Source organism: Homo sapiens, chromosome 16 (genome assembly GCF_000001405.40).
Source record: "Homo sapiens chromosome 16, GRCh38.p14 Primary Assembly".
Taxonomy (NCBI): domain Eukaryota; kingdom Metazoa; phylum Chordata; class Mammalia; order Primates; family Hominidae; genus Homo; species Homo sapiens.
The window spans coordinates 71,512,127-71,538,877 of record NC_000016.10 but is presented as its reverse complement, the minus strand read 5'-3'; the positions used below and the strand labels follow the sequence as shown (position 1 = coordinate 71,538,877).

The 26,751-nt window shown below is 45.2% G+C and overlaps 1 protein-coding gene and 1 long non-coding RNA gene across 4 annotated transcripts, besides 3 other annotated features; both read right to left on the bottom strand.

The window, feature by feature from the left end:
• On the bottom strand, positions 130 to 12,758 carry CHST4 (carbohydrate sulfotransferase 4). 2 transcript variants are annotated; one of them, NM_001166395.2, is made up of 2 exons: positions 12,383 to 12,452; positions 130 to 2,218 (listed from the first exon to the last, which is right to left on the bottom strand). In NM_001166395.2, the coding sequence occupies exon 2, from the start codon at positions 2,198 to 2,200 to the stop codon at positions 1,040 to 1,042; it is 1,161 nt and encodes a 386-aa protein (NP_001159867.1). In that variant the 5' UTR covers positions 2,201 to 2,218; positions 12,383 to 12,452; the 3' UTR covers positions 130 to 1,039. The 2 variants fall into 2 exon arrangements, with proteins under 2 accessions (NP_001159867.1, NP_005760.1); NM_005769.2 differs by lacking the exon at positions 12,383 to 12,452 and adding an exon at positions 12,566 to 12,758 and having other exon boundaries at positions 288 to 2,218.
• Positions 898 to 1,192: a silencer, noted in NCBI's record as "tiled region #3479; K562 Repressive DNase unmatched - State 12:CtcfO". NCBI's record gives its function as "represses a minimal TATA promoter and a strong SV40 promoter by Sharpr-MPRA in K562 cells {active_cell/tissue: K562}" and the evidence as "EXISTENCE:reporter gene assay evidence [ECO:0000049][PMID:27701403]".
• Positions 980 to 1,049: a silencer, noted in NCBI's record as "silent region_7680". NCBI's record gives its function as "represses an Ori minimal core promoter by ATAC-STARR-seq in GM12878 lymphoblastoid cells {active_cell/tissue: GM12878}" and the evidence as "EXISTENCE:reporter gene assay evidence [ECO:0000049][PMID:35858748]".
• Positions 12,209 to 12,819: an enhancer, noted in NCBI's record as "OCT4-NANOG-H3K27ac-H3K4me1 hESC enhancer chr16:71559962-71560572 (GRCh37/hg19 assembly coordinates)". NCBI's record gives its function as "activates a minimal SCP1, AML or CMV promoter by ChIP-STARR-seq in naive H9 embryonic stem cells {active_cell/tissue: H9 hESC(naive)}" and the evidence as "EXISTENCE:reporter gene assay evidence [ECO:0000049][PMID:30033119]".
• LOC105371335 (uncharacterized) lies at positions 21,032 to 25,067 on the bottom strand. 2 transcript variants are annotated; one of them, NR_135171.1, is made up of 3 exons: positions 24,943 to 25,067; positions 24,057 to 24,178; positions 21,032 to 21,273 (listed from the first exon to the last, which is right to left on the bottom strand). It is a non-coding gene; the product is annotated as an uncharacterized LOC105371335 (long non-coding RNA). The 2 variants fall into 2 exon arrangements; NR_135172.1 differs by lacking the exon at positions 24,057 to 24,178.
• Positions 25,068 to 26,751: the final 1,684 nt, after the last annotated feature.

The following is a 26,751-nucleotide window of genomic DNA, read 5'->3' as shown; positions in this document are numbered from 1 at the left end:
ATAGCACCAGTCATACTAGAACTGAGGTCCTCTGGCTGAGGGATCAGAGTAAAAGAACTCTCTTCCCAGACCCTAGGGTGACACATATGGCGTTATCACAACTTATACCTCACACAAGAAAGAAAGGGCTTAGCTGCTAATTGTCTATTTTCCACCAATTCTTAAGAGGGTATAGACTTAGTTCATCATCTGAAACCAAATATTATCTTAGCAATTTTCTGTATAAATGGGTGATAGATAATAGCAAAGGTGTTTTAAAAAACCAATAAAGATGATTACATCTATTCTTAGCTTAGGATCCCATAAAAATGAACATTTACTGCTAATAATTAAGAAGCATAAAAAGGGACATTCTAAACAGAACCTTATTTGGGAATTTTAGTATTAACAGATGGCAGCTTCACAGGTCAAAGTCTTCTATGTGATGGGAAAATGCAGAGGGGAAGTGATATTCAAATGCAGCCCAGGCACCCTGTGAACTTAAGAGCTTGCTCTTTTGTGCAGAGATTTTGTTTCATATTTCTGATTACCGATAGCTGTGATGGTCAAGCTCATAAGTAGGCATCCAACCTTGTTCCCACTTCCTTCCTTGAATCCACTGGGAACTCCAAGGGCTCAGAATTTGCATCTCTGTGGAAAATGCTGGTGAGCTCTTTGGTGAAAGATCCATTCCCCATTGGGCAAGATGTGGACAGGGAGGTTTATGGATCAATTCCACTGATACTGTGTCGTGCTTAATAGGCCTCCAGGCCACAAAGTCTCTGAAGTCTGCCCAGACAGGAAGATCAAGAAAAGAAGAAGAGCAATACCCTGTTTCACTGGTGGGATGTGCTGCTCACATAAGGTTCCCCAGTCTGTTTTCTAGACACAAGCATGGACACAAAAGTCCTTCTGCTTGAGCACGTGTGGACACAACTCACACTCAGTGTGATACCCACAGACATGTAGTTAAGGCTCAGAGATGTAGGCAAGGCTCAGAAGCATTCAGAGAAAGTGACTGAGGCTGACACCAGGTGGCAGCAAAGCCTTCTCAACCCTCTTAGTGGATTTGCTCAGGGACAGTCCAGGTAGACAGAAGATCCAGCAACAGGTTTCTCTGTTCTTGTTCAGATCTGACGTGGCGGTAGCCCAGCAAATTCATGGCATCGCCACAGGCTTTCTGAAGTCGAGAAACCTTTTCATAGGGCAAAGACCAGCGCCAAGCCTGGGAGACATTAAGGGCATCCCTGGCATTTGTGTGGAAAGCGTGGTCACCCATGCCCTTGCCTCGGGTGATGTTATGCACCCAGGTCTGAAGATGGGGCAAGAATTCCAATCCCACGAATTCATACATTCGGGAAGTCTGGGCCACAGGGGCTCGAGCCAGGTCCTCATAGCGCACAAGCAGGTAGCGTTCCTGCAGGGCCTTGGGCAAGGACTGGATGGTCTTGTAGATCTCCAGCTGGCTTTGGCAGATGACCTGCATCACATAGTAGGGTTGGTCCTCCTTCTTGAGTTTTTGCTCATGCTGCCCCATCACAATGCGACTGTCAATCATGAGATCTCCCTTTGTGCGTTCTCGGGAACGGAACACGGCCCGGGGGTCCCGGACCAGGTGCACGATATGCAGGTTGAGGGAGGGGTCTTTCAGCAGCGGGTAGAGGGACTGCAGGTTGAAGAAGCGCACCTCCTTGAGCACCACGTGGCTGTAGGAGCGGCAGGCCTTCTCCACCACCTCAAAGGGCTGTTGACTGCACAGGAGCCTGCAGTGAGCCCGGGGGATGATTTCATCTTGTGGGATGATGTCACAGGCAGGTGCAGAACACAGGGCCCGGCTGTTCTCCCACTGAAAGAGGCTGGACTGTCTCCGGGGACCAGGTTCCATGTAGGCATCAAAGACGCTCATGTCGCACAAGAAGACGGCCCGTATCAGATCCCGCACAGCCATGTGCAGCATCCAGGCGGTGCTCTGCTTGAAGGTCATCCACACGTGCCAGGCGGGCTCCATCAGGTAGAAAACATCTGGGTGCTGCCCAAAAAGCTGCCCCACAAAAGAAGAGCCAGAGCGCCAGGAAGACAGAACCAGCACGTGCATGCGCTCGGGCTGTGCCTTCATAGACAGGGAGCTGATGTTGTGGCTGTACATGTGGAAGAATAGAGCCAAGATGGCCATCTGGGAAACCAGAAACAGCAGGAGCTTCATTTTTTTAGGCAGTAGCATTGTGCTGAAGTGGAAGACCTTTAAGGAACAAACAGAAAGGGTGGAGTTGGGCTGCTGTTTTATTGTTTGCCTTCTATTCCCCTTCTGGCCAAAGCCACCTGCTCTCTGACCCCCTACCAAGGAGCAACATGGAAAGCCAGAGGATTCGTGCCAACAATGGCACCAGTCCTTCTCCAAATCATTTCCTGTCCCTTACACTTAGTGTGTTGATATGTTCTCCTTCAGGGTCTTTAATTCCTCCTTCCTGGTCTTTCTAAACCAAGCCACGTTGCCCATTGGTTTACCAAAAATATCTGAACTCAACCATATTTAATCAACATAAGGAAATGTCTCCATCATGGTGCCCTGATGACAAGGATGTCTTCAGACAGGCCACCCAGGGGAGGCGTCACCTCAGTCTGACTCAAGTCTTGGAGGAATGGCTTGTGATTCCTGCAGAGACAGAGGGAGATAAGCTACCTAGTGAAGAACTGCCTCGAAGCCACTGCTTAGCCATCCCTCCATCATAAGGGAGACTGCAACCAAGACTGTGTCTCATCTCCCTCCCTCACTGCAGTTAAGCACAGGACTTTCCACTCCAGTCCCTCAAAAGATAGGGCTGCAGGCTGTGCAACTGCTTGGCTTTAGTTGGAATTGTCTCCTCAAAGGCAGAGCCAGGTGCTCATGGTGCCTGTCATCTATTTATCTGCTAGCTGGTGTTTTGCCATCAGTGTAGAGTGAAAAGTCTACGTCTAGCACCTGACCTCACCTGCCCATTTCTCACCTTGCCCTAGATAGCAAATCCTTCTGATTTGGTGTCATCCCATGGGACCAAGGCCATGGGGAGTTGATCCAATGTCGACCTTGTATCTGTGTAGGTAATAAACTATCTGAATCTATTTGAGCTGAATTAGAGTTATTTGAGCTATTAGTGTCTCCTTACCTGCCAACTCTAAGAAAGTGTGGCAAGCCAACCTAAGTGCTACAGATCTCAGAACTGTATCACTCTCACTGGGGACACTTGTGGCCCATGACTCCCACACTGCTGCTTGAGGCATACTTGATTACGTGGGACAACCTACTCAAGGCAGCTCAGTGCAGTTGGGCAAGTGTGTATCACACAACCCTAGGGAGTGCCATCCCATCAAGAATTTAGATATTTATTTTCAAAATGTTTTTTGTAGGTGATAGTAAAGTATCTTGGTCCAACAAAATAAGTATATTAAGGCCAGGTGCAGTGGCTCATGCCTGTAATCCCAGCACTTTGGGAGACTGAGCTGGGCAGATCACTTGAGGTCAGGAATTTGAGACCAGCCTGGCCAACATGGCAAAACCCTGTCTCTACTAAAAATGCAAAAATTAGCTGAGTGTGTTGGCACACGCCTATAGTCCCAGCTACTTGGGAGGCTGAGGCAGGGGAATCGTCTGAACCTGGGAGACAGAGGTTGTAGTAAGCCGAGATCGCGCCACTGCACTCCAGCCTGGGTGAAAGGCTGAGACTCCATCTCCAAAAAAACCCACAAATATAACAAAATAAAACAAAAAATAAGTATATTAAGATGGTTTTCCAGTTGATAGACAGTAAATATCTAGAGAAAGGGTCTCACTTTGTGATTCGTACTGTCTCATACTGACTGATGGCAACATTTTGCAATCAGGGCTTGCTTCGTGTGAAAGGACCACGGTTCCCAGTGGTATGCTAGAATGTTATTCCAAAGGATATTTTAACCTCCTTCCCACATGACTTTGTCATTCTGGGTGACCTTCTGACATAAATAACTATTGGGAGAGAGAATAGCTATTGCACATTGTAAAATATTCATAGTAGTAGTAAGGTGTTCATTTGTATATCACCATGTACACAAGAAATTCTCCCTTCCAGCTTTAGTAAAAAATAGAGGCTAGATTTCCAGATGGTAAGTGGGGCTGGATTTGGGGGTCAGCTGTTTTTGTGGTGGCAGGTCTTATACCAATTATTTAAAAAGTTTTTATTATTTATTTATTTATTTTTGCAGAGACAAGGTCTTGAAATGTTGCTCATGGCTGAGCACAGTGGCTCATGCCTGTAGTCCCAACACTTTTGGAGGCCGAGGCGGGTGGATCATATGAGGTCAGGAGTTTGAGACCAGCCTGGCCAACATGGTGAATGCCTGCCTCTGCTAAAAATACAAAAATTAGCTGGACGTGTTGGCTGGTGCCTGTAATCCCAGCTACGTGGGAGGCTGAGGTAGGAGAATCACTTGAATCAGAAAGGCAGAGATTGCAGTGAGCCGAGATTGTGCCATTGCACTCTAGCCTGGGCAACAAGAGCAAAACTCCATCTCAAAAAAGAAAAAAAAAAAAAAAAAAAGAAAGAAATGTTGCCCAGTCAGATCTTGAACTCTTGGCCTCAAACAATCTTCCTGCCTCAGCCTCCCAAAGTGCTAGGATTACAGGCATGAGCCACCGTGCTCAGCCTAAAAAGTTTTTAATAGGTAATAGTCACATGATTCAAATTATTTTGAAAAGTTTCTACAGACTCAGAATTTAAAACAAGCGTTTTCTCAGATTCTGTATGCAGGAGGGAAAGGAGTGCCTGCCAGCCTGCAGCCAGCCTGACACACCCCAGGCTTTTAACATATGTCACTGGGGAGGGGAAATCTTTTTTTTTTTTTTTTTGAGATGGGGTCTTGCTCTGTCACCAGGCTGAAGTGCAGTGGCCTGATCTCAGCTCACTGCAACCTCCTCCTCCCAGGTTCAAGTGATTCCCCTGCCTCAGCCTCCTGAGTAGCTGGGACTATAGGCACGTGCCACCAGGCTCAGCTAATTTTTTGTATTTTAGTAGAGATGGGGCTTCACCATGTTGACTGGGATGGTCTTGATCTCCTGACCTTGTGATCCGCCTGCCTCAGCCTCCCAAAAATGCAGGGATTACAAGTGTGAGCCCCCATGCCCAGCCTGGAGGGGAAATCTTATGACAAGCGCTTGTGCCTGTGAGGGAGGCCTGTAGTCAGAAATTAGGAAACTTCTAGAGCTATTTGTAAACATGGGTAATGACATATCTTTAAAGGGGTCATAGTATTTTTCCAGAGGAAAGAAAACCTAAGAATTTTACTAGCTGACAAATCAGTCCCCTCTTTTTTACGTACTGACAGCTGCTATTTATCTGCTAGCTGGTGTTTTGTCATCAATGTACAGTGAAAAGTCTACTTCCAGCACCTGACCTCACCTGCCCATTTCTCAACTTGCCGCACATAGCAACTACGTTTTTTTTTTTGTTTTTTTTTTTTTTTGAGACAGAGTCTTGCTCTGTTGCCCAGGCTGCAGTACACACTGGCGCGATCTCGGTTGACTGAAACCTCTGCCTCCCGGGTTCAAGTGATTCTCCTGCCTCAGCCCCCTGAGTAGGTGAGACTACAGGCGCACACCACCACGCCCGGCTAATTTTTGTATTTTTAGTAGAAACGAGGTTTCACCATGTTAGCCAGGCTGGTCTCGAACTCCTGACCTCAAGTTGTCTGCCCGCCTCAGCCTCCCAAAGTGCTGGGATTATATAGGCATGAGCCACTGTGCCTGGCCTGAGTTCATTTTTAATGTGTCTTTTCAGTTGCTTTATGTGTACACAAGAACATTCAAATGTGTATGTGTTCTTAATTTTTTTCCTCTTTAAAATGCAAAAAAAAATCAAAAAAAAATTTCAAGTTATCTGTTCTGTGCTGCCCTTTATTTTTAGTTGTCAATATGTCTTAGGGAGCATTCCAGGGCAGTTCGTAAAGTAGTTCCTCATTCATTGTTGCTTCGAAGAAGTATTATATGGATTAACCACAGTTTATTTAATCAGTTTCCTCATTGATGGATGGGCTTATGAGTTGTTTCCAATCTTTTGCCATTTCAAGTGCTTCAGTGATGACCTTTATGTTCACACACCGTCACACATGTATGTAAGATCACACATGTATGAAGGTAGCCTTCATACTGATCAGAAACTATTCTCTACGTCCAGGGCTCCAGAGACCTGTGAGAGTAGATTTTAGGAGAGAAATTGGGTAGCCACAAAGGAGACTCTTGGCATTTATAGCTTTCTTCCTGAAGGGAAAGCATGCTTTGCCAGCTCGTGGGTTTTCCTTGGAAGTCCCCTGAACCTTCTGGGAAGTATGTAATGACTCAAGCCAAACCTTGGGTGGCAATAGCAGAAAAACCCCTTATCTTCCATTCATAATAACAGTGCTTTTCCTCTGGATGTGCCAAAAAGATCCAATGAGGATCATCTCATCATCATGGCTGAAAATCACTTGCTGTACGGCAGAAAATGTCAATGACTGGTAATTCCTGCCCTGTAGTCTTAGCCCTGCAGATTAGAACAGGACCAGCTAGGCCGGGCATGGTGGCTCACGTCTGTAATCCCAGCACTTTGGGAGGCCAAGGTGGGTGGATCACGAGGTCAGGAGATCGAGACCATCCTGGCTAACACGGTGAAACCCCGTCTCTACTAAAAATACAAAAAATTAGCCAGGCGTGGTGGCGGGCACCTATAGTCCCAGCTACTCGGGAGGCTGAAGCAGGAGAACGGCGTGAACCCAGGAGGCAGAGCTTGCAGTGAGCCGAGATCGCGCCACTGCACTCCAGCCTGGGCGACAGAGCGAGACTCCATCTCAAAAAAAAAAAAAAAAACAACAGGACCAGCTAAGATGTGCTGCTAGTTCTTAAAACTTGAGTGCAAGAGGAAAATGATTAGAAACTAAGCTATTACTGATCTTGGCCCAAGGATGTCCTCCCTCCCCGCAAAGACTGAAGAGGTGACTTTAGCAAAAGAGCTTCTCCTAAGGGCAATGTGAGTATGAGAAAAAGTTTGGAACAAAAATAGGAAGCAATGGAGCAAAACCAAAAAGAGAGGAAAATGAGAAGAACTTATCCTGTATACAGTTATAAGGAAATGGTGATAGAATTTTATAAGCAGGGCTTATAATTAGGAAAAAGCTAACATTTCCTAGGGATTAGGAGAATAGACCTTTCAAAGTGACACCCTCCCTCCCTCCATCCTGCTTGGGGCCAGTTCTGTGTCCTGTGCGGGGCTTGGTGACTCTGGACCCTCCTTGCCTGCCAACTGCTGCTGGCCTGAAGCCCGTTTCCTCCCCAAGCTGGAGCTGGGCCTCCTAACTGCCCCCAGTTGTTCCCAGGTGTTAGTTGTCCACGGTTCTCAGGAACTCCCATGGAAATCCTCTGACTTCTTTTTCTTTCTGTGAGCACTTGCCCTGGGTAGAAAGCGTAGCTTTTGTGAAGCAAGTCCCATCCCTTGTCACTGAGCCCCAAGACACATCTGGATCTAGACGACACACAATGGGCTGACCAGAGAGCCAGGGGATACTTTAGGATGTGTCTTGGGCAAAACTCATTTCTGAAGACTGTAATGAGCAGCAGAGGCAGATGCTCCTGGGCCCTGGCAGAAGCGAGGTGATGCGAGTCACCAGGGCGCTTCATGGAAGGAGACTCTTCAATAGTGTCCTCGAATCCCACTCTCCCATTGCCAGAATTCCCAGCTGTTTGTGTCTAGGGTGGCCTTTGACATCGACCTTTCTCTTCTGTCTCTCAGCATCTCCCCATGACCCACTGCTGCCAAAAACTACCTTTTTCATTTTTTTTAAATTACTATTTATTCTTTTGGGACAGAGTCTCACTCTGTCAGTGATCTCAGCTCACTGCAACTTCTGCCTCCTGGGTTCAAGTGATTCCTGTGCCTCAGCCTCCCAGGTGGCTGGGATTACAGGTGCCCACCACCGTGCCCAGCTAATTTTTGTGTTTTTAGTAGAGACAGGGTTTCGCCATGTTGGCCAGGCTGGTCTCAAACTCCTAACCTCAAGTGATCCACCTGCCTCGGCCTCCCAAAGTGCTGGGATTACAGGTGTGAGCCACCACGCCTGGCCCAAAATCTTTTTTTTCCTTTTTTAGAGTCGGGGGTCTCACTCTGTTGCCCAGGGTGGAGTACAGTGGCATGATCATAGCTCACTGCAGCCTTGAACTCCTGGGCTCAAGTGATTTTCGATCCTCCTGTCTCAGCCTCCCCAGTAGCTGGGATCACAGGTGTGTCCAATCACACCCAGATAATTTTTTCATTTTTTACTAGAGACTGGCCCTCACTATATTGCCCAGGCTGGTGTCAAACTCCTGACCTCAAGCCACCTTCCAGCCTTGGCCTCCCAAAGTGCTGGGATTACAGGTGTGAGCCACCGCACCTGGCCAAAATATCTTTTTAAAGCATAAGTCTATCAACTTCCTGCTTAAAAATCCTTCAATAAATTTCCAGTGTATATGGGATTAAATAAACATCCCCACACCTCGCACCTGGGGTCCTTCATGGCCTGGTCTTGATTTCCTGTCACTCCCTTCTGTTTTAGTGCCTTAGGCTCCCGACTTTCAGTTCTTCCAAACTTGCCCTGTTATTTAAAAGCCCTGAGATTTTTGCAGGACAGCTACTATTCCTTCAAGAATCTAACCTGCCTTCTCCCTGAAAGGGAGAGCCTGCCTTCTCCCTGAAAGAAGTTCTGTCTCTTTCTCCTGAGACTTTTTTTTTTTAATTTTATTTTTTAGACAGAGTCTTGCTCTGTCGCCCAGGCTGGAGTGCAGTGGCATGATCTCAGCTCACCGCAACCTCTGCCTCCTAGATTCAAGCGATTCTCCTGCCTCAGCCTCCCCAGGAGCTGGGATTACAGCCACGCCCAGCTAATTTTTGTATTTCTAGTGGAAATGGGGATTCGCCATGTTGGTCAGGCTGGTCTCGAACCCCTGACCTCAGGTGATTCTCCCGCCTCGGCCTGCCAAAGTGCTGGGATCACAGGTGTGAAGCACCGCGCCCAGCCCCCTCTTGAGATTAATTTGTTTCCCAGACCTTCTGTTAGCAGCCATCCCTTTTGACAGTAAAAGCCTGTATGGGTGCCTCTCTTTTCTCTGGGCCACTATAGCTTAAGGGAAAGGCTGTATCTTATCTTACTTACACGTACATAACAATTCTACAAATGATCAGGGCTCGGCTCATTAAACACTTGCTAAATAAATGAGTAAGTGAGTAAATAGATGAGTGTGGGCTTGATCTCCTGATCAAGATCACACCGCTGCACTCCAGCCTGGTCAACAGAGCGAAACTTGGTCTCAAAAAAAAAAAAAAAAAAAAAAAAAAAAAAATAGATGAGCATGGGAAGAGGCACAGTAATTGCTAGAAAGCAGAAAACTAAAGGAGCTCCTTCAAGAGAATGAAACATAAGTATCCTTTTCTGAAATGCACACGGACACTCTTCAGCATCAGTGACTAAAATTTAGGTGATTGCATGGAACAGTGAGCACATTACCCATGCCGTCTCAGTTACTTGGACCAAGCTACTAATAAAGTCAGAGGCATGGGTTAGATGCAGTATGGCACAGTAACCCTTGGTCCAAAAAACAGTTACTATACCAAGCATGCATTAATTAAAACCAGGAGGGAAATTATTTTTCTCTTCCTGTATGAAAATTAGTTTTAGAAAACATTTAAAAAATAAAAGCCTCATTGCTGGGTGATAGGCTACCTTGCTTGAATCAGCTCAGTTACTAGGCTAACAAAGCAAAAGCAAAAAAAAAAAAACAAAAAACAAAAACAAAACAAAAAACCCAAACTCAGCACATTCCATCATCACCACCCCAAAAAATTAATTTAAAAAAATGTTGCCCCAACGATGGGTGAACGGTATCATCTTAAAACACAAAGGACAGCCATTTCTGAGGAGTCAAGAGAACCTTAGGAACTTGAAAACGCCACCAAAGGGTGGTGAGAAGGGAGAATCTATGTTTGGCACAGGAACCACGAAGGTGCCAGATGGGTGACCTCAAGCAGCAGCTGATTAGAGTGGGCTGAATTATAGATGTCCCCCAAATCGGTACCATGTAGCCTCGTAGAGACAAAATGGGAAATTCTGAGGGGGAAAAAAACCAGATAGATACTAATTTAAGAAGTCTGGGTTCCAGCCACTGGATGCATTCCTAACTTACACTTCCCATGAGATTATGCCCCTTACAAGTAGAAATTAGATACAGCAGAAGATACCTTGAGCAAAGAGAGAGAGAATGGGGTTGGATTGGGGAAACTGGCATCCTCACAAGCAGCCTGAAGACCTGGAAAACCTCTGAAGCTAGGCACCTGGGTAAAGGGTGTCCATATAACAAACTCTTCCTAGACAGTGTCAGGAGGATTGGACCTGGGTCCCGCCAGGGCTGTGTCACTAGTGCCAAGGACAGTGCATGGCACATAGTAGGTGCTCAAGGAACATCTTTCAACAAATGACAAGTGAACATATATTTGTACAGTGTTTTTTTTTTTACTATATGAGACCCAGAAAGGAAGATTGAGCAAGATATTATAAACCAAAAATAAAATTCTAAGGCCCCCCAACCATCTGAAAGGACTTCCTCCTCAGCCAGGACTCTTTTTTTTTTTTTTTTTTTTGAAATGAAGTCTTGCTCTGTTGTCCAGGCTGGAGTGCAGTGGCACGATCTCAGCTCACTGCAACCTCGACTCCTCAGGTTCAAGCGCTTCTCCTGCCTCAGCCTCCCGAGTGACCTGGCTAATTTTTTGTATTTTTAGTACAGACATGGTTTTGCCATGTTGGCCAGGCAGGTCTCGAACTCCTGACCTCAAGTGACCTCAGTCTCCTAATAGTGCTGTGATTACACCCATGAGCCACTGTGCCCAGCCAGGGGTCTTTTTAAAATTTAACCTGAGAGACTGTTTCAGGCCATGACAAGAAGTGGGGATCTAACATGCCTCATCATACCTCTCCAGCATTAACACCAACACAGACCTTAAGTCTGATAAGAAACATTTTACAACCTATTCTCTCTGAAGCCTGCTATCTGAAGGCTTCCTCTCAGTTGCAGTGAGCCGAGATCGCACCACTGCACTCCAGCCTGGGCGACAGACCCGTACTTTTTTCTTTTCTTTTTTCTTTTTTGAGATGGAGTTTTGCTCTTGTTGCCCAGGCTAGAGTGCAATGGCAGGATCTCGGCTCACTGCAGCCTCCCGGTTTCAAGCGATTCTCCTGCCTCAGCCTCCTGAGTAGCTGGGATTACAGGTGCCTGCCACCATGCCCAGCTAATTTTTTTGGTATTTTTAGTACAGACAGGGTTTCGCCATGTTGGCCGGGCTGGTCTTGAACTCCTGGCCTCAGGTGATCCACCTGCCTCAGCTTCCCAAAGTGCTGGGATTACAGGCGCGAGCCATCGCGCCTGGCTAGATGTATTTCTTAAATGTATTTGATTGAAGTCTCATGTCTCCCTAAAGTGTATAAAACCAAGCTGCACCCCGACCACCTTAGACACATGTTCTCAGGACCTCCTGAGGGCTGTGTCACCGGCCATGGTCACTCATATTTGGCTCAGAATAAATCTCTTCAAATATGTCACAGAGTCTGACTCTTTTCATCGACAATATTACATTTATTTTACACATAGAAAAGTATTTCAATTCCAATTAGAAGTTTCATACTTGTCCAAGGCCATGCAAGATAGACGTATCTTCTACCATAGCTGATATGTTGGCACCATAACTTAATCATATTGCACATGTGCGTGGTGTTCCACATTTTTAAAGCCCTTTTAGCTGCAATTATGATACTGATCGGTTAGATATTTTAGACAGTGATGAGACATTTCTTCATTTTTCAGAATAAATAAACTAAACTTTAATTGACTGGCTCATCCGGTATAAATAGCCTTTTCTGGATCAGAACCCAGGTTTTGGGGATCCCAGGGCTGAGAATTTTCAATGATCACACTGTCCCTCTCCTGAGCTAGAGAAAACCTACAGCTCCTTGCACCTCCTGTCTTCCACTCCCCAGCAGAAAACAGAGGAGAAGCTGCAGGAAGTACAGAAATTTGAGCTCCAAAGCCAGGATCTGAACGAGTCAGTTGGCACCAGGGGACCATCTACAAAATATACATCAGAACAGCCTGATCTGCTCTCTGGGCTCTTTTGGACCCATTTAGGGATAGAGCTAGTGGGGCTTGGGGGCTGCTGGTAAGCAGCTTGTGTTTTATTTTACCCAGAAAATTCCCCAGGTGATCTGATTTATCCCCTCTGCGCAAACCGCCTTCGCCACTGTAATCTCTAGCTTAGCTGCCAGAGGTTATCTGATACTCTTGCTCCAGCAGCTCTGGGTAATGGCTCTGCATTGGAGTCGTACACAGAAATTCTCTTCTTACCTTGTGGCTTGGGCTTCCCTGCTGCTTTTGAGAGGCTCACTGCTAGCCGGGCCATGCGCTTTTCTCCTCTGACTCACCAACTCCCCTCTTGGCTTCCTCCTCCTACTTGCTTTTGCATAACCGTCCCTACTCAGAGCACATTTCACTGTCCCTCCCTTCTGCCAAAAACAAAAAAGGACCCACCTTGCAAGACGGGCTTGAGAAAGCACTCGCTCCCAGGAAGCTGTGAAAGTAACAGCTTTAACACTGCTGAGACTCAAGGGGTGGGGAGACTGCTTGAGGTGGGCTGGGAGAAGCAAATGAGGAAGCATTTTCCCCCAGACTGGAGGCATCCTGGCATGTTGACTACTGAAAGGCAACTGTGAAGGTCAACTCCCTATGGGCAGAGTGGGGAGGTGGGGAAAAAGAGAAAGAGAGAGAGAGAGACCCAGGGAGCTAGTAGATGAGGCTGATAGGGAAATTTCATGACACTTACAAGCCGAAAGGCTACAAAATCTCAAACCTGATTTTTAGACCTTGTTCTTATCTCCAAGGAGAAAATGTGAAAGTTATTTCTTGCATTACACCTGCCTGCTCACTCCACCCTGGGTCTAGGGAGGTAACATTTCTCAGCCTCTGTGTTGTATTCAATATCTTCACCCTTGCTACAAGAGGTAATAAATATTTTCTGGGAGGACATAGATGTACTGGCTTGGTGGTACAGGAGAAAAAAAAGTCCCCTTTAAGAAAAAAAGAAACAAATTATCATTAAAGATTACAACCTCTCCCTTGCTGTGTGCCCTTGGGCAAATCACTTACCTACTCCGTGCTACTTTACACGGTTGTCATGAGTCTGAAACAATGGATGCCCGTGAATAAACGTAAATTGTGGTGGAGAATGGAAGCCTCAGACTTTCAAGTCCAAGATCTTGCCGGGCAAGTCATACCACCTCTTTGAGCCCTAGAATATCATCGGTGTTAAATAAGGGTAACAATATCTATTTTACAGTATTGTTGTGAATGTTAGGATTAATGCGTATGAAGCTCCTAACACAATAATATGACAATATAAGAGTTAAAAAGTGGTTGAATAATAATACCTTCCCACCGCCACCCACCCCCGCAACTCAGCTGCCACTTCCTTTTCCAGACCTTGGAAGAGAGAGAGAGCAGGCAGGGAGTTGTGTGAGCTTTGGGATGATCTTTGCCGATTTCCATCAGCTAAGTCCGCTAAGCACAAATGACAAGAACCTGTGGTGCTTGCCTTGACTTGATTTCAATTGTGTGGCTCTTCCTCCCTTCCTGTTTCTCTCTGGCAGAGAGAAGAGAAATTTCTCTTCCTCCAGTGAAGGACTTTGGGCAGAGGTGTAACTGGAAGCACTAGAACTGGGCAGTCGGTAGTTTTGCTTTTATGCACAAAGAGATGATTCAGGTGCTGGCACGACACAGCGAGATGGCACAAGGCTTCATCATGCTACTCAGAATAGTATGTAATAAATGAACTGTTTATTTCTGTAATTTTCCCATTTAATATTTTCAAATCGTGGTTGATGATGAGTAGTTAAAACTGGGAAACAAAACCGTGGATAAAGAGGGGACTCCTGTAGTTTTATTCCAGCCCTTTCTAACATTCTTTTCGTGTTTTTCCAGCGCCTTCCCAAATATAGTGAGGTCACTCAAATACACCATAACCCCAAGTAATTCAGATCACCTGCCATCTTTCCCGTGCTAGGAATTCATGCTGGCAGAATGCCAAGCAGCTGAAGAAAGGCATCCTCTGGTCACTAGTATACGGTGGTGACCAGCATGTTCAGATACTGGACTTCCAAGGGTCTACCACATTCCACAGCACTGGGAAGAAATTTGAATGCTGGTGTCTGATATCCAGGCCTTCTTGTGGAAGTCCTGCAGCCCACGTCTCTAAGGCAGCACTGTCCAATAACAGTCTCTGTGATGATGGAAATGTTCCATATCTGCACTATACAGTAGCCACTGTCCACCTGAAACGTGCTAGTGCAACCATATTGGATCGTGCAGTCAAGTAAGAGATCTAATCTTTTTCTTTTTGAGTCTCCAAAATCTGATAACAGATATAGACCTCTGTAGAAAAATGTACAATTGCTCATATACAAACACAAAATCATGTGCAATGCCAAGGAATCCCAAGTTTAAAATCCGTACAAAAGGCTGTGTGTACTTGAAGTGATTTAGACAATTGTCTCCTGGGGACCACTATTCAGCGGAGTCGCTGATCTCATCTTTGCCCTTGGAAGTTTACCATCTTTACTGTCTGGGGACCCACCTGAGTGGTGAAGAGACCTGGGGTCAGCTACTGACCTAGACTCTGATTTTCTCAGGGGTCAAAAGGATCTTTCTGCTGGTTATACTACCTACTCCTGCTACCTTACCCTGACCATCACTCCAAATGAGATTGCAGTTTCTTCACTTCCACACTTACCTACATATCTTTTCTGTCCCTAGTGACACTGAAAGGACAGTGATGCTTCCTTGAGTTTCTTTTCTTATGGGGGCTCTAGCATTCCTCATTTTTTTACGCTAAGCATCAGCCTGCAATGCAGATGTCCAGGCCTGAAACTGTTGAGGAACATGTCACTCCCTACATTGGTCACCAGCCCTGTTTTGCTTACCAAAGCCAGTGTCTGGCCTGAGTAGGTCACTGGCTAAGTGGCTGAGTTTAGAGAATAGATTCTGGAGGGCTTTGTAGTTTGGCTAAGTTTCTGAAGTCTATAGAGACTGGATCTTAGCATCACAGGGAGCCAGCGCCTTCGGAAGAAGTGTCTGCAAGCCAGGAAGGAAATCTTGGTTGCTGTAAATCCTATTATCAAATGGGTAATTGCTTTCAGTAGAACTTGCTTCCTTGAGCTGGGCCCTGGTGGTGGACATCTGTGTAGGGAATCCCCCAGCAATACGATGTCCCTTATCTGTGTTAGAAATATTTGTTTCAACAGTGGGAGAATAAGTTGGACTAGAATAGATTAGGGAAAAAACGAACACAGTTTTAAGTTTTTCACTGGTTCTTGCTTTTTTGTTGCTCCCTTGAAGGGCAGAGGGGATGGGAAAATAGGAAATAATGAGCCAGGAGCTCCTAGTAAAACTCAGGCATCCCTTATATGTCTTTGATGGTTCAGGAACATAACATTGCTGCATAATTGTGGCTTTATCTGGAATCAGGCTCCTGAAATTCTACCTCTGGTCTTCCAAAAACTGTCAGAGACTGCTTCAGGTGACCCGTGATGATTTAGTCAGGGAGTTTCTGGGGATGAAATCTGGGGAGACTATCAGTGTGTCTTCCGGTGGACTGTCACCTCATGTATCACATTGATCACCAATGTCTGTCTAAAGGTAAAATAACCTTAAATAGCTGTCAAATTTGCCCTCCTTTATATGTCAACAGCCCCTGTCTTCAGTCTGCCTTTCAATTTTTTTTTTGCTTGAATTTCTGCCAACAGTCTCTCACTTTTTCCCATATCCCCAATCTTATGCCCTCCAGCCTTCCCACTCTATGCTGCAGCTAGAATGATCTTTCCTAGGATGGATCTGATCCCCAGCATTTCCCTGATGAAAATGCTACAAAAGAGCTCATTAGAGACACAGTACAAATTCCTCGAGATGCTTAGTTAGGCACCTTTTAAGAGTTGGTGTCTCTCGGCCAGGTGTGGTGGCTCACGCCTGTAATCCCAGCACTTTGGGAGGCCAAGGTGGGTGAATCGCCAGAGGTCAGGAGTTCGAGACCAGCCTGGCCAACATGGCGAAACCGTGTCTCTACTAAAAATACAAAAATCCACCAGGTGTGGTGGCATAGACCTGTAATCCCAGCTACTCGAGAGGCCGAGGCAGGAGAATAGCTTGAACTCAGGGAGTGGAGGTTGCAGGTAGGTGGGTAGATGATGTGCTGGGAATTTGTGGAAACTCCCTTCTTATTGCTTTTATTTTCCTAGTGAGTGAGGGGATAAGGTTGTCAGCTGAGTCTGAGGATGGGGAAGGAGTTAATGGAAGCCTGAAGAGAGAGGAAGATATGGAGTGGCCACCTGTGAGGATACGTTAGTGACTATGCTAGGGTAATGAGGTAAGATAGATGAGTGAAGCCGAAGGTGAGTGGTCATAAACTTAAAATGAAAGCAGATAGCAGAGGTGTGTAGTTTTTCCAGCCCTGTTCGGCTACTACTACTTGTGTGGGGATAAGTGGAGAGTTAGATTTAAGTAAGACCTCTGCTTTTCTGGAAGAGTACAATGAAGTATTAGAGAGGCAAGGGAGCCTAGGGGATATTCAAAGGTGTAATTATGATAATGAACCATGGAATCTAAGCTGGTTAAGAGGAGAAAGAAGGACAGAAAGATTATAGCTGAACTAAGTTGGAGGGCAAGTTTTTTGGGAGTGAGGAGGTCAAGGATTTGAGACATCAGGGCTTTGAAAGTATCATCTCTAAGGATATTGAGTTCATGTAGAATTGTCCCAGGAGTAGAGTTGGAGAGTGGCAGGGGTCATATGACTGTAATGAGGGCCATATAGTCTGGTTAATATCAGAGTGAAAGCTGGAAATGTTTAGGAAGGAGGGAGCCAGAATAATCTGGAAGCAGCAATGAGGAACAAGAAAACTTATTCCATTGTGGAGTGTAAGAAACAGCCACCACTTGAGAGGACTGCAGAGAAAGCAGTGTCTTCAAGGGAGACCTAGTTTCCTTTAGAGCAAGAAAGTGAAGAGGAAATTAAGACACTTCGAGAAAAGATGGATTTTGTGGATCCCAACAAGGGTGTCGGGATGGGGAGGGTGGGAAATGGGGTCAGAAAATGAGACATTTGGAGCCATTTGGGATGAAACACAAGGGATAAGGAACAACTGAGGATCCTGGGCTACTTGTGTGACTGGCATAAACCAGGATAAAGGAAATAATAACAGATAATGATGGCCTCCAGGAAGATAGTGGTGGCCAAACTGAAAACTTGGGGAAGGGCAGTGTGAAGTACCTGCTGGAAGAGGCTGGGGTGCTCTCTCTTTACTCTTGGCAATGGTGACGTGGAGGCCAGGGTAGGGGTGTTGTTGAAACTCTAGACATTGAGAAACTGCATCACCACTTCTCCAAACAATGCAAAGCATCTGGAGTCAGCTTGGTTGAAGGAACAAGATTTTTGGGCTGGGCATGGTGGCTTATGCCTGTAATCCCGGCACTTTGGGAGGCCAAGGCGGGCGGATCACCTGAGGTCGGGAGTTCGAGACCAGCCTGACCAACATGGAGAAACTCCATCTCTACTAAAAATACAAAATTAGCTGGGTGTGGTGGCTCATGCCTGTAATCCCAGCCACTCGGGAGGCTGGGGCAGGAGAATCGCTTGAACCTGGGAGGCGGAGGCTGTGGTGAGCTGAGGTCATGCCATTGCACTCCAGCCTGGGCAACAAGAGTGAAATTCCATCTCAGAGAGTGAGAGAGAGAGAGAGAGAGAGAGAGAGAGAGAGAGAGAGAGAGAGAGAGAGAGAGAGAGAGAAAGAGTCTTGACTGAGGGAGAAAGAAGAGATAGATCACGGAGCACTGAGGGACTAGGTAGTTCTCCAGGGGATATCACAGGAGTTCCTGGGTGCTGACCTGTGTGACATGAAGTCATGTAGTCATACAGTTGGGGTGGATACAGTGGCTCAAGAATGCCATTGGGTGACTTATTTCTACAGACCATCAACTTCATGCTTATTGCCTCATGGCCAGGAGACAGCTGTGCACATCTAGGGCTCACATCTACATTCCAGACAGGAAACTGCAGAAAGGTTAATAGCTGCAGGGCATATGCATCACATAAAGTAAAGACGTGGAAGCACTTCAGTCTCCAAAGCTCTTGGTTCATGTGGGTTGCTCTGCTTAAAGCGCCCTCTCTGCTTTATTGCCTGGTTAACTTGCGTCTTCTCTTTCAAGATTCAACTCAAGTCAGCATCACCTTCTCTGGGAAACCATTCCTTATGTCCCTAGGCTGAGTTAGGTGCCCTGGTCTGTGTGTTCAGAGCTCATGGCAGATTGCCATGATGACCTCCATTCTCCCATCTTTGTATCCATGCCCTATGACATATAACTCTGCCTGGGGTCTCAGCTATGCTACTCGCTTTGATTGTAGGGATTTTTTTTTTTTTTGAGATGGAGTCTCGCTTCTTTACCCAGGCTGGAGTGTAATGGCACAATCTTGGCTCACTGCAACCTCCGCTTCCAGGGTTCAAGCAATTCTCCCGCCTCAGCCTCCCCAGTAGCTGGGATTATAGGCATGTGCCAGCATGCCCGGCTAATTTTTGTATTTTTAGTAGAGACAGGGTTTCACTATGTTGGCCAGGCTGGTCTTGAACTCCTGACCTCAAGTGATCTGCCTGCCTAGGCCTCCCAAAATGCTGAGATTACAGGCATGAGCTACCGTGCCTGGCCTGTTGGGATGTTTTTAAGCAGAGGCTTTAAAGTAACTTGTGCAGTTGGACATGTTCTTGCTCTTGTGTCTTAGTCACTGCCGTGAGATCATGCCTGCTGGATGAAAGGCACGGGAAGCACATCCAAATTACCATGGTTGTCCTAGCTGAGGCCATCCTAGATCAGCCAATGGCAGCTAACCACCAGACACTTCAGTGAACCCAAGCCAAATCAGCAGAACTACCTAAGCAACCACCCTAGATGCACAAGAAATGAGGTTTTATTGTATACCACTGAAGTTTCATGGCTGGTTGTTACTCAGCATTATAGTAGCCTTAGAAAATTGTTGCAGAGTCCCTTCAGCATAGCCACAAGCCTTAGCCATGTCTGTCTTCCCAACTCACGTTGGGAGAGAATCACCTTTTATCTGTGTATATTACCTCTTGCCTGTGTATACCTAGCACGTAGCACAATGCTTGGCCCATAGAAGGCGCTTGGTGAAAGTCTGGGAAAGGAAGGAATGAATGAGCCTTTGTTCAACCTTAAAAAGGAACTTTTTTTTTTTTTTTGAAACAGAGTCTCTCTCTGTCACCCAGGCTGGAGTGCAATGGCATGATCTCAGGTCACTGCAACCTCTGCCTCCTGGGTTCAAGCAATTCTCATGCCTCAGCGTCCCTAGTAGCTAGGATTACAGGCGTGTATCACCCTGCCCAGCTTTTTTTTTTTTTTTTTTTTTTTTTTTTGAGATGGAGTCTTGCTCTGTCGCCCAGGCTGGAGTGCAGTGGCGTGATCTTGGCTCACTGCAATCTCCGCTTCCCGGGTTCAAGCGATTCTCCTGTCTCAGCCTCCTGAGTAGCTGGGACTACAGGTGCCTGCCACCACGCCCGGCTAATTTTTCTATTTTTAGTAGAGATGGGGTTTCACCATATTGGTCAGGCTGGTCTTGAACTCCTGACCTCAGGTGATCCACCCACTTTGGCCTTCCAAACTGCTGGGATTACAGGCGTAAGCCACCGTGCCTGGCCTAATTTTTGTACTTTTAATAGAGACAAGGTTTTGCCATGATGCCCAGGCTCATCTCAAACTCCTGACCTCAAGTGATCTGCCCACCTTGGCCTCTCAAAGTGGTGGGACTACAGGCGTGAGCCACTGCGCCCAGCTGAAAACAACAACAACAACAACAACAAAAAACAGGTGCACATTCCCTATAACTAAACAATGTAATCAAATACACGCACCCACAGAAAACCTGGTCCAACAAACATATGTGAAGCGACAATATAAAACCAAGTCTCATCACTGTTTAAAGCACTTTTCTACCTCAAGTACAATGATTGTCTCTCAAACATGGGGCACTTAATTTTACATTTTATTGTATTGTATAGTTCAATCCAAAGATAATCTAAATCCCACAAGTACATTTTAAAAGGTCGAAGGTAAAGAAGTAGATATGACTCAGTGTCGATATTTTTTCTATTATTTTCAGTACGCAATACTAAATCACTCTAACCACTGACGTTTCCTAAACAATGTCAAGAAACTTGCATTGCTTAAAAAATTATTTGTATTAACATTAAAAACAGAATTTCCACTAGGAGACCACAGAGGACACATGTATCTAGTAGCCTAGTTAAGTATGTGGCTGGGGTGGCGAGAATATCATCTTTATGAAAGGTCAGTGTTCACATGGGATTGTGTGTTTGAGGCACACTAAGAAAATTAATTTTGTCAAAGAAGAGGGTTTCTGTAGAGCAATAGTGAAAAAGGGTGTGGATAGGGGGCAGAATAGAGCTTAATTGTGGAAATCTGAGTGTAAGGTTAGGGCATTTTTATATTCTACTTAGCAGAGAATAGTTACAACTTTATTTTTTATTTTTAAGACAGGCTCATTCTGTTATATAGGCTGGAGTGCAGTGGTGCAATCACAGTTCACTACCACCTTGACCGCCCGAGCTCAAGCGATCCTTCCACCTCAGCCTCCCAAATAGCTGGGACTATGTGTTTTTATTTTGTGTAGAGAAAAGGTCTCACTTTGTTGCCCAGGCTAGTTTTGAACTCCTGGGCTCAAGTGATCATCCTGTCTTGGCCTCCTAAAGTGTTGGGATTACAGGTGTGAGCCACCACATCTGGTTGCTTTCAACCTTTGAGCAAGGGAATGACATAATGAAGTGTTGGGTCAATCTAGCTGCTAGATTCTAGCAGTATGGTGAAGTGGTTTTTGCAGAAACATGTTTAATAGTCATATCAAATAATTTAATGCCAAAACACTATTATGCAGATATACCCATTTATTTAAAAATCACATATTTCTTAAAGTCTAGATTGATGCGAGGATGCAAATGAACAAGAAATCATTTTGAGATCATAAGGTTTGCTCTTCTCTTCCTAATAGTCATCTAGTTTGTTGCCCGTTGTGAATCCATGAATTACTCGTTTTTTTTTCTGAGTATTGGGTTGTCCTCATTTTCCTTTGTTTTGCCTTTGATACTCTCCCTTGGGTCCTGTTGGTCCAGTTCCTTGAAAAAATAATTACAGTAGGGGTAGAGGTCAGAAGTAAGAATGAATGAGACTCCATGAAGCCAAAACCAGAATCAACATTGGGATAAACTGTTTTAAGCTCCCTTTCCAAGAACACAGTTCACCCGAGTTATGATAGCATTTACCTTTTGGGTGTGAGGATATCATTTTGCCTTTGAAGTGTGTTTCATAATCCACTGATTGGACACATTGCTATATTGCTGTCACTATTTCTTTTTATTCAAGAGGAACTTAAGAGTTAGGAAGGATAAATAACTTTGTCCAAATTATTTTGTTATGTTAGTCACAGAAGCACGTCTTTTCACACTCCATGCCTCTCTAAGACCTGCTGTTTCTTCTAGAATATTCTCCTCCCCACCTTACTCCCATTCCACCTGCCAAAAATTCAGCCTTCTAAACCCTGTTCAGATATGCCTTTCCTGTGCAACCTTCCCTTCTCCCCGTGCCAGTTCTTTCTCCTCGCCCCCCAAAGTAAATTGTACAAACCTCTGTAATGATGCACATGCGTTTACATATATGCCTCCCTATAGGACTATAGGGGTCTTCCATTTTGTGCCCCCAGCACCAGCATCTAGTACACAGTAGGTGCTTAATTAACGTCGGATACAAGATTAGAGAATCTAAAGGCAAGGAGGGAAATTTTAAACCCTTCCAAAATCTAAGCAAAAGATAAAGAGGCAGCACCTAAAACCACCCCCACTTGGATTAATTTTTTTTTTCTTTTTTTTTTTTTTTTTGAGACAGAGTCTCGCTCTGTCGCCCAGGCTGGAGTGCAGTGGCGCGATCTTGGCTCACTGCAAGCTCCGCCTCCCAGGTTCACGCCTTTCTCCTGCCTCAGCCTCCCGAGTAGCTGGGACTACAGGCACCCGCCACCACGCCGAGCTAATTTTTTGTATTTTTAGTAGAGACGGGGTTTCACCGTGTTAGCCAGGATGGTCTTGATCTCCTGACCTCGTGATCCACTAGCCTCGGCCTCCCAAAGTGCTGGGATTACAGGCGTGAGCCACCGCGCCCGGCCTAATTTTTTTTTTCTTTAATGTATTAGGGAAGGAGGCTTCTCAGCCCTCCCGCAGCCGTCAGGGGGTCGTCGTGGGGCCGCTTTCCCGGCTTCACCTCGGGGGCTCCCATGCGATCCCCCGCAGCCTCCCCGGCCTCGCACGCACGGTGGCCGTGACCTCTCCCCACACCGCCCCGCAGCCCCTACGCTCTACATAGTGCGCATGCACTGTGCGCCTTGCTGCGTTTCCCAAGCTGATGCACCCTCTTCTTTACTCCTCTTTGTCCTTTTCTCACGTTTCCTTCGCCCAGGAACTTTGTTTTCCCCCTTAGAAGACATCTGCCTTTCTGGCCATATCCTCCACCCAGCGCCTCCCTGGAGAGCTGGCAGAGCCCCGCTGCGGCGCCAGGAGGGGGCTTCTGCGCCCTGGGTTGCGCTTCCTCTTGCACGAGGCTTTTTCCTTCCAACTTCTCCAGTGCGCAGTCGGGCGGTGAGGACTCAAGGAACGTGAGCACAATTTGGTTAGGGGGCGAGGAGGAGGTCTACCCTGGCAGGCAGGCCGGCTTTTCTAGCTGCTTCTAGCTCCCTGCAGACAAACCACTGGTCCCACAGGCTTAGGGTTGAATCCTGTAGGTGGATAGTCCTGGGGTCTCACACACAACCCATGCCAGAAGAATGTTTTTATTTTCTTATTTTTGCTCACTTGTATTTTTTGGGGGACGGCGGGGACAGGGTCTTGCTCTGTTGCCCAGGCTGGAATGCAGTGGTGCTATCATAGCTCACTGCAGCCTTGAACTTCTGGGCACATGTGATTTTCTTGCCTCAGCCTCTCAGGTAGCTGAGCCTACAGGTGTGCACCACCACTAGCAAGAACATTATAGAAGAAACACCTGGCCCCCCCCCGCCCCACCTTTCTTTTTTTTTTGTAGAGATGTAGTAGTCTTGCTATGTTTGCCCAGGCTGGTCACTCCTGTATTTTCTAATTTTTAAAAGTGCGCATGTATTTCTTATGTGATAAAAACCATTAAATGCAAAAATATCTTCTTTGGAAGTAGGGATCGTTTGTGCAGCAGACTTGGCGGAAATCTCAAATATCTGTTGAAAGTGCATAAAAGAATGTGCACATCAATTTTATCCCGAATCCTGCCTCTTCTGAAGTTCTAATTCAAATGCAGCCTTCTCATAAAACATTTCCTTATATCCTCAATTACATAGGCCTACAAAGCCTTACCTGATTTGGCCACGCCCAGCCCATCCCATTCCTCACTGACCCCCTCACCTCCTGCTGTTCCTCATTCCTGAGGCTCTGAAACCTTGGCCTCTTCCTCCCTGTTGTTCCTGGCACACTGGAGAAAATCGATTAATATTTGTTGAATGAGTGAATGAATGTGACCTCTTCCTGGTTTGTATCATTCGGACAAAATCTGTTCTGTTCTATAATTAGGTATTTGTCCTATGTCCCCTACTGTTAAGCAACTTGAGGCCTCTTACACCCTGTGATATGACCCCTGCTGTGCCTGGCACAATGCTTGATATGTAGTAATAGCAAATATTAACAATAATAGTAGGAAGAGTTGTTACCTGAGTGATTACTAGGGGCCAAGTACTGTATTAAATATTTATAAGTATTACCTCACTTATATATATAATGACCATGAAGATACCCAGATTATAGGAAGGCATGTGGCCATAAACGTAGCCTTCTATTCTTAGTGCTGCTTTACAGCGGAGGAAGCTGAGGCTTAGAGAAGTTAAGTAGCTCACCCAAGGTCACATTGCTAAGACGCGGCATTACAGGAAAATGCAATCCTAAATTATTTTCAGATCCATAGTTTTCAAAGTGTGGTCCAGGAACCATTGGGGTCCTCGAGACCCTTTCAGGAGGTCTGTAGATGCAAAATCATTTTAATAATCATGCTAGGACATCGTTTGCCGTCTTCATTCTCGTGTGTGTGTGTATGGTGGTTTTCCCAAGGCTATGTGTCATGTGATATCAAATCACCTTGAATGCAGATGCAGAAAGGAGAATCCAGTTGTCTTCCATTAAGGCAGACTTTAAAGAGATTTTCAAAACTGTAAAATAATGCTAATCATTCCCCTTAATTTTTAAAAAATAAAATATATTTATTTTTAATAAAAGCATTTTTGTCAACATGTAATATGTTCATAATTGTCATTTTTGAATAAATAAATATTTAAAAATTTATCAATTTTGATTTCTAATATGGTAAATATCTATAGAGAGGAGCCCATATAAACAAAAACACTATGGGATTCTCAGTATCTTTCCAAGTGTTAAGGGGCCCTGAGACCAAAATGCTTGAGAGTAGATGTATTAGATAGTATTTGTTTCCTCGCAACTCTAAAATTTAAAGGTTTTCAGCTCCTGGGGCAGTTTAGATAATTTGTAACTGGTCTAAATTTTCAGTCTGCAGATCAGCTTGGAAAGAGAGGCAGCCCTGGGGTCTATCTCCATGCCTGGTCCTGACTGGTCTTGGCTACCTGGATTTATTCTGGTCTTAACTGCTCTGTGAACTTCTGGAAACTCCCATTCCTGTCTTGGGCTCACACATAGCTCCCAGGTAGACTCATTATTTCATTCTTTTATCCCCCATTCTCTTTTATGGTTATGTGGCATGTCAGATTTTACCTTGATCCTGGAGTAGACCTTTCTCCCAACTTTCTATACTGTCTTACAGAACAAAGGTTTTTTTTTGTTTTTGTTTTTCCAATATCCAAACACTTCCTGGATTCCGGATGAGCCCTGAATGGCTTATTTCCTGTTGCCATGGCATGTACAGAATTATAACATATCTTACATTCTAAATTATTTCTCATTGATTACCTCTGGGAAAAGGAACTGGGTGGCAGGAGAAAAGAAGTAGGAGGAAATCTTACCTCTTTTGTAATAGCTTTTGTACAGAAATTAAATTTAAAACTTTGCTCCAAGCAAAGCAAAATCAACAAACAAAACAACAAAAAGCAAACCATACACAAATATCTCCTGAAGTGTGATTATGTCTAGAACTTCCTTGTTTGGTGGGAAACTCCTTTCAGAAGAGGATCATTTTACAGGGTGGATTCAGAAGTAGAAAGCATGTCATAGGTCACTGGACTGTGAAGAAGGAGGTGCAGTTTAGAATGGAGACTGTCTTTGGGAACTTCAGGTTTTGGTTTTTTTTTCCGCCTTCAGATATCTGAATCATAGTTTGCTGGAATAAACTAAGAATATGAATTGGCCTCTCTTTATGAACATTATTTTAAAAAATCTTTGCCCAGGCACAGTGGCTCACGCCTGTAATCCTAGCATTTTGGGAGGCCGAGGCAGGCGGATTGTTGGAGCTCAGGAGTTCGAGACCAGCCTGGGCAGCCATCTCTACTAAAATAGAAAAAATTATCTAGATGTGGTGGTGTGCGACTGTAGTCCCAGCTACTCTGGAGGCTGAGGCATGAGGATCGCTTGAACCCGTAAGAGCAAGATTGCAGTGAGCCGAGATCATGCCCCTGCACTCCAGCCTGGGTGACAGAGTGTCTAAAAAAAAAAAAAAGTTGATGTACTATGAACTTAGATATACAATTGCTTCTTGGCCTTTTGACTAACATCAAGTGTAAACTTGTTTTCTCCGTATTTTCCTGTGCTGATGCATTTGGAGAAAGGAGGTAAACGCAGGTTCTATTCCCAACCAGGTCACCTATTTGCTGTGTGATCTTTGGCCAGTCTCGCCCTGGGCCTCCGTGCCCCACACCTGTTGCACAAAGGTGAGACTTGCCTTTGAGGGACAGTTGAGAGGGAAACAGAAGATCCAGGCAGCAAAGTCATTCAGAAAGGTAAAAGTGCTATTCAAAACCTAAGTAGTACTGCTAACCTTCATGCTGAAGACTAAACTCTGATTTTTAAATCTTGGCCAAATTCCTATCTAAGGGTTCTGAGAATCTGCTCTACAAACCATAAATTCTCATCAGATGGGTTTTATTTAACTTCATATATCATGACTTACTTTCCAATCTGACTGTGGCATAACATTATGTGACAAAGAAGAAAGTCAAAATATTTTACCCCAAAACTCGTTTCTTTGCCATGTTTTGAAATGGTCCTGCAAAGCTGTCCTTTGTGGGGGGAAATGTGCATCTAAAGAATCTCTATTAACGTAGTTAGATCTTTTTCTTCCAGATCCTCCCAATCTTTAAGAGATTAAGTAAGAGTCTAGCACCTTTTAAAGGTCTGAATAGGAAACAATTTGTCATCTATTGTCTCTAAGGGCAGCCACTATAAGACTTCAAAAGAACCTTGGTCTCCATAGTCTTTTGTCTTAACCTGAACATTTTCTTTCTATTGATCCCAGGTCTTTAGACAAACTCAACCAATTGTTGATCAGAAAATGTTTAAATTTACCTATACTCTGGAAGCTTCCCACCTCTCAACCCGCTTTGGGTTGTCCTGCCTTTCTGAACCAAACCA

Coding starts and splice junctions, on each gene's coding strand:
- CHST4 (NM_005769.2), bottom strand. CDS start 2,200: ATGCTACTGCCTAAAAAAATGAAGCTCCTGCTGTTTCTGGTTTCCCAG.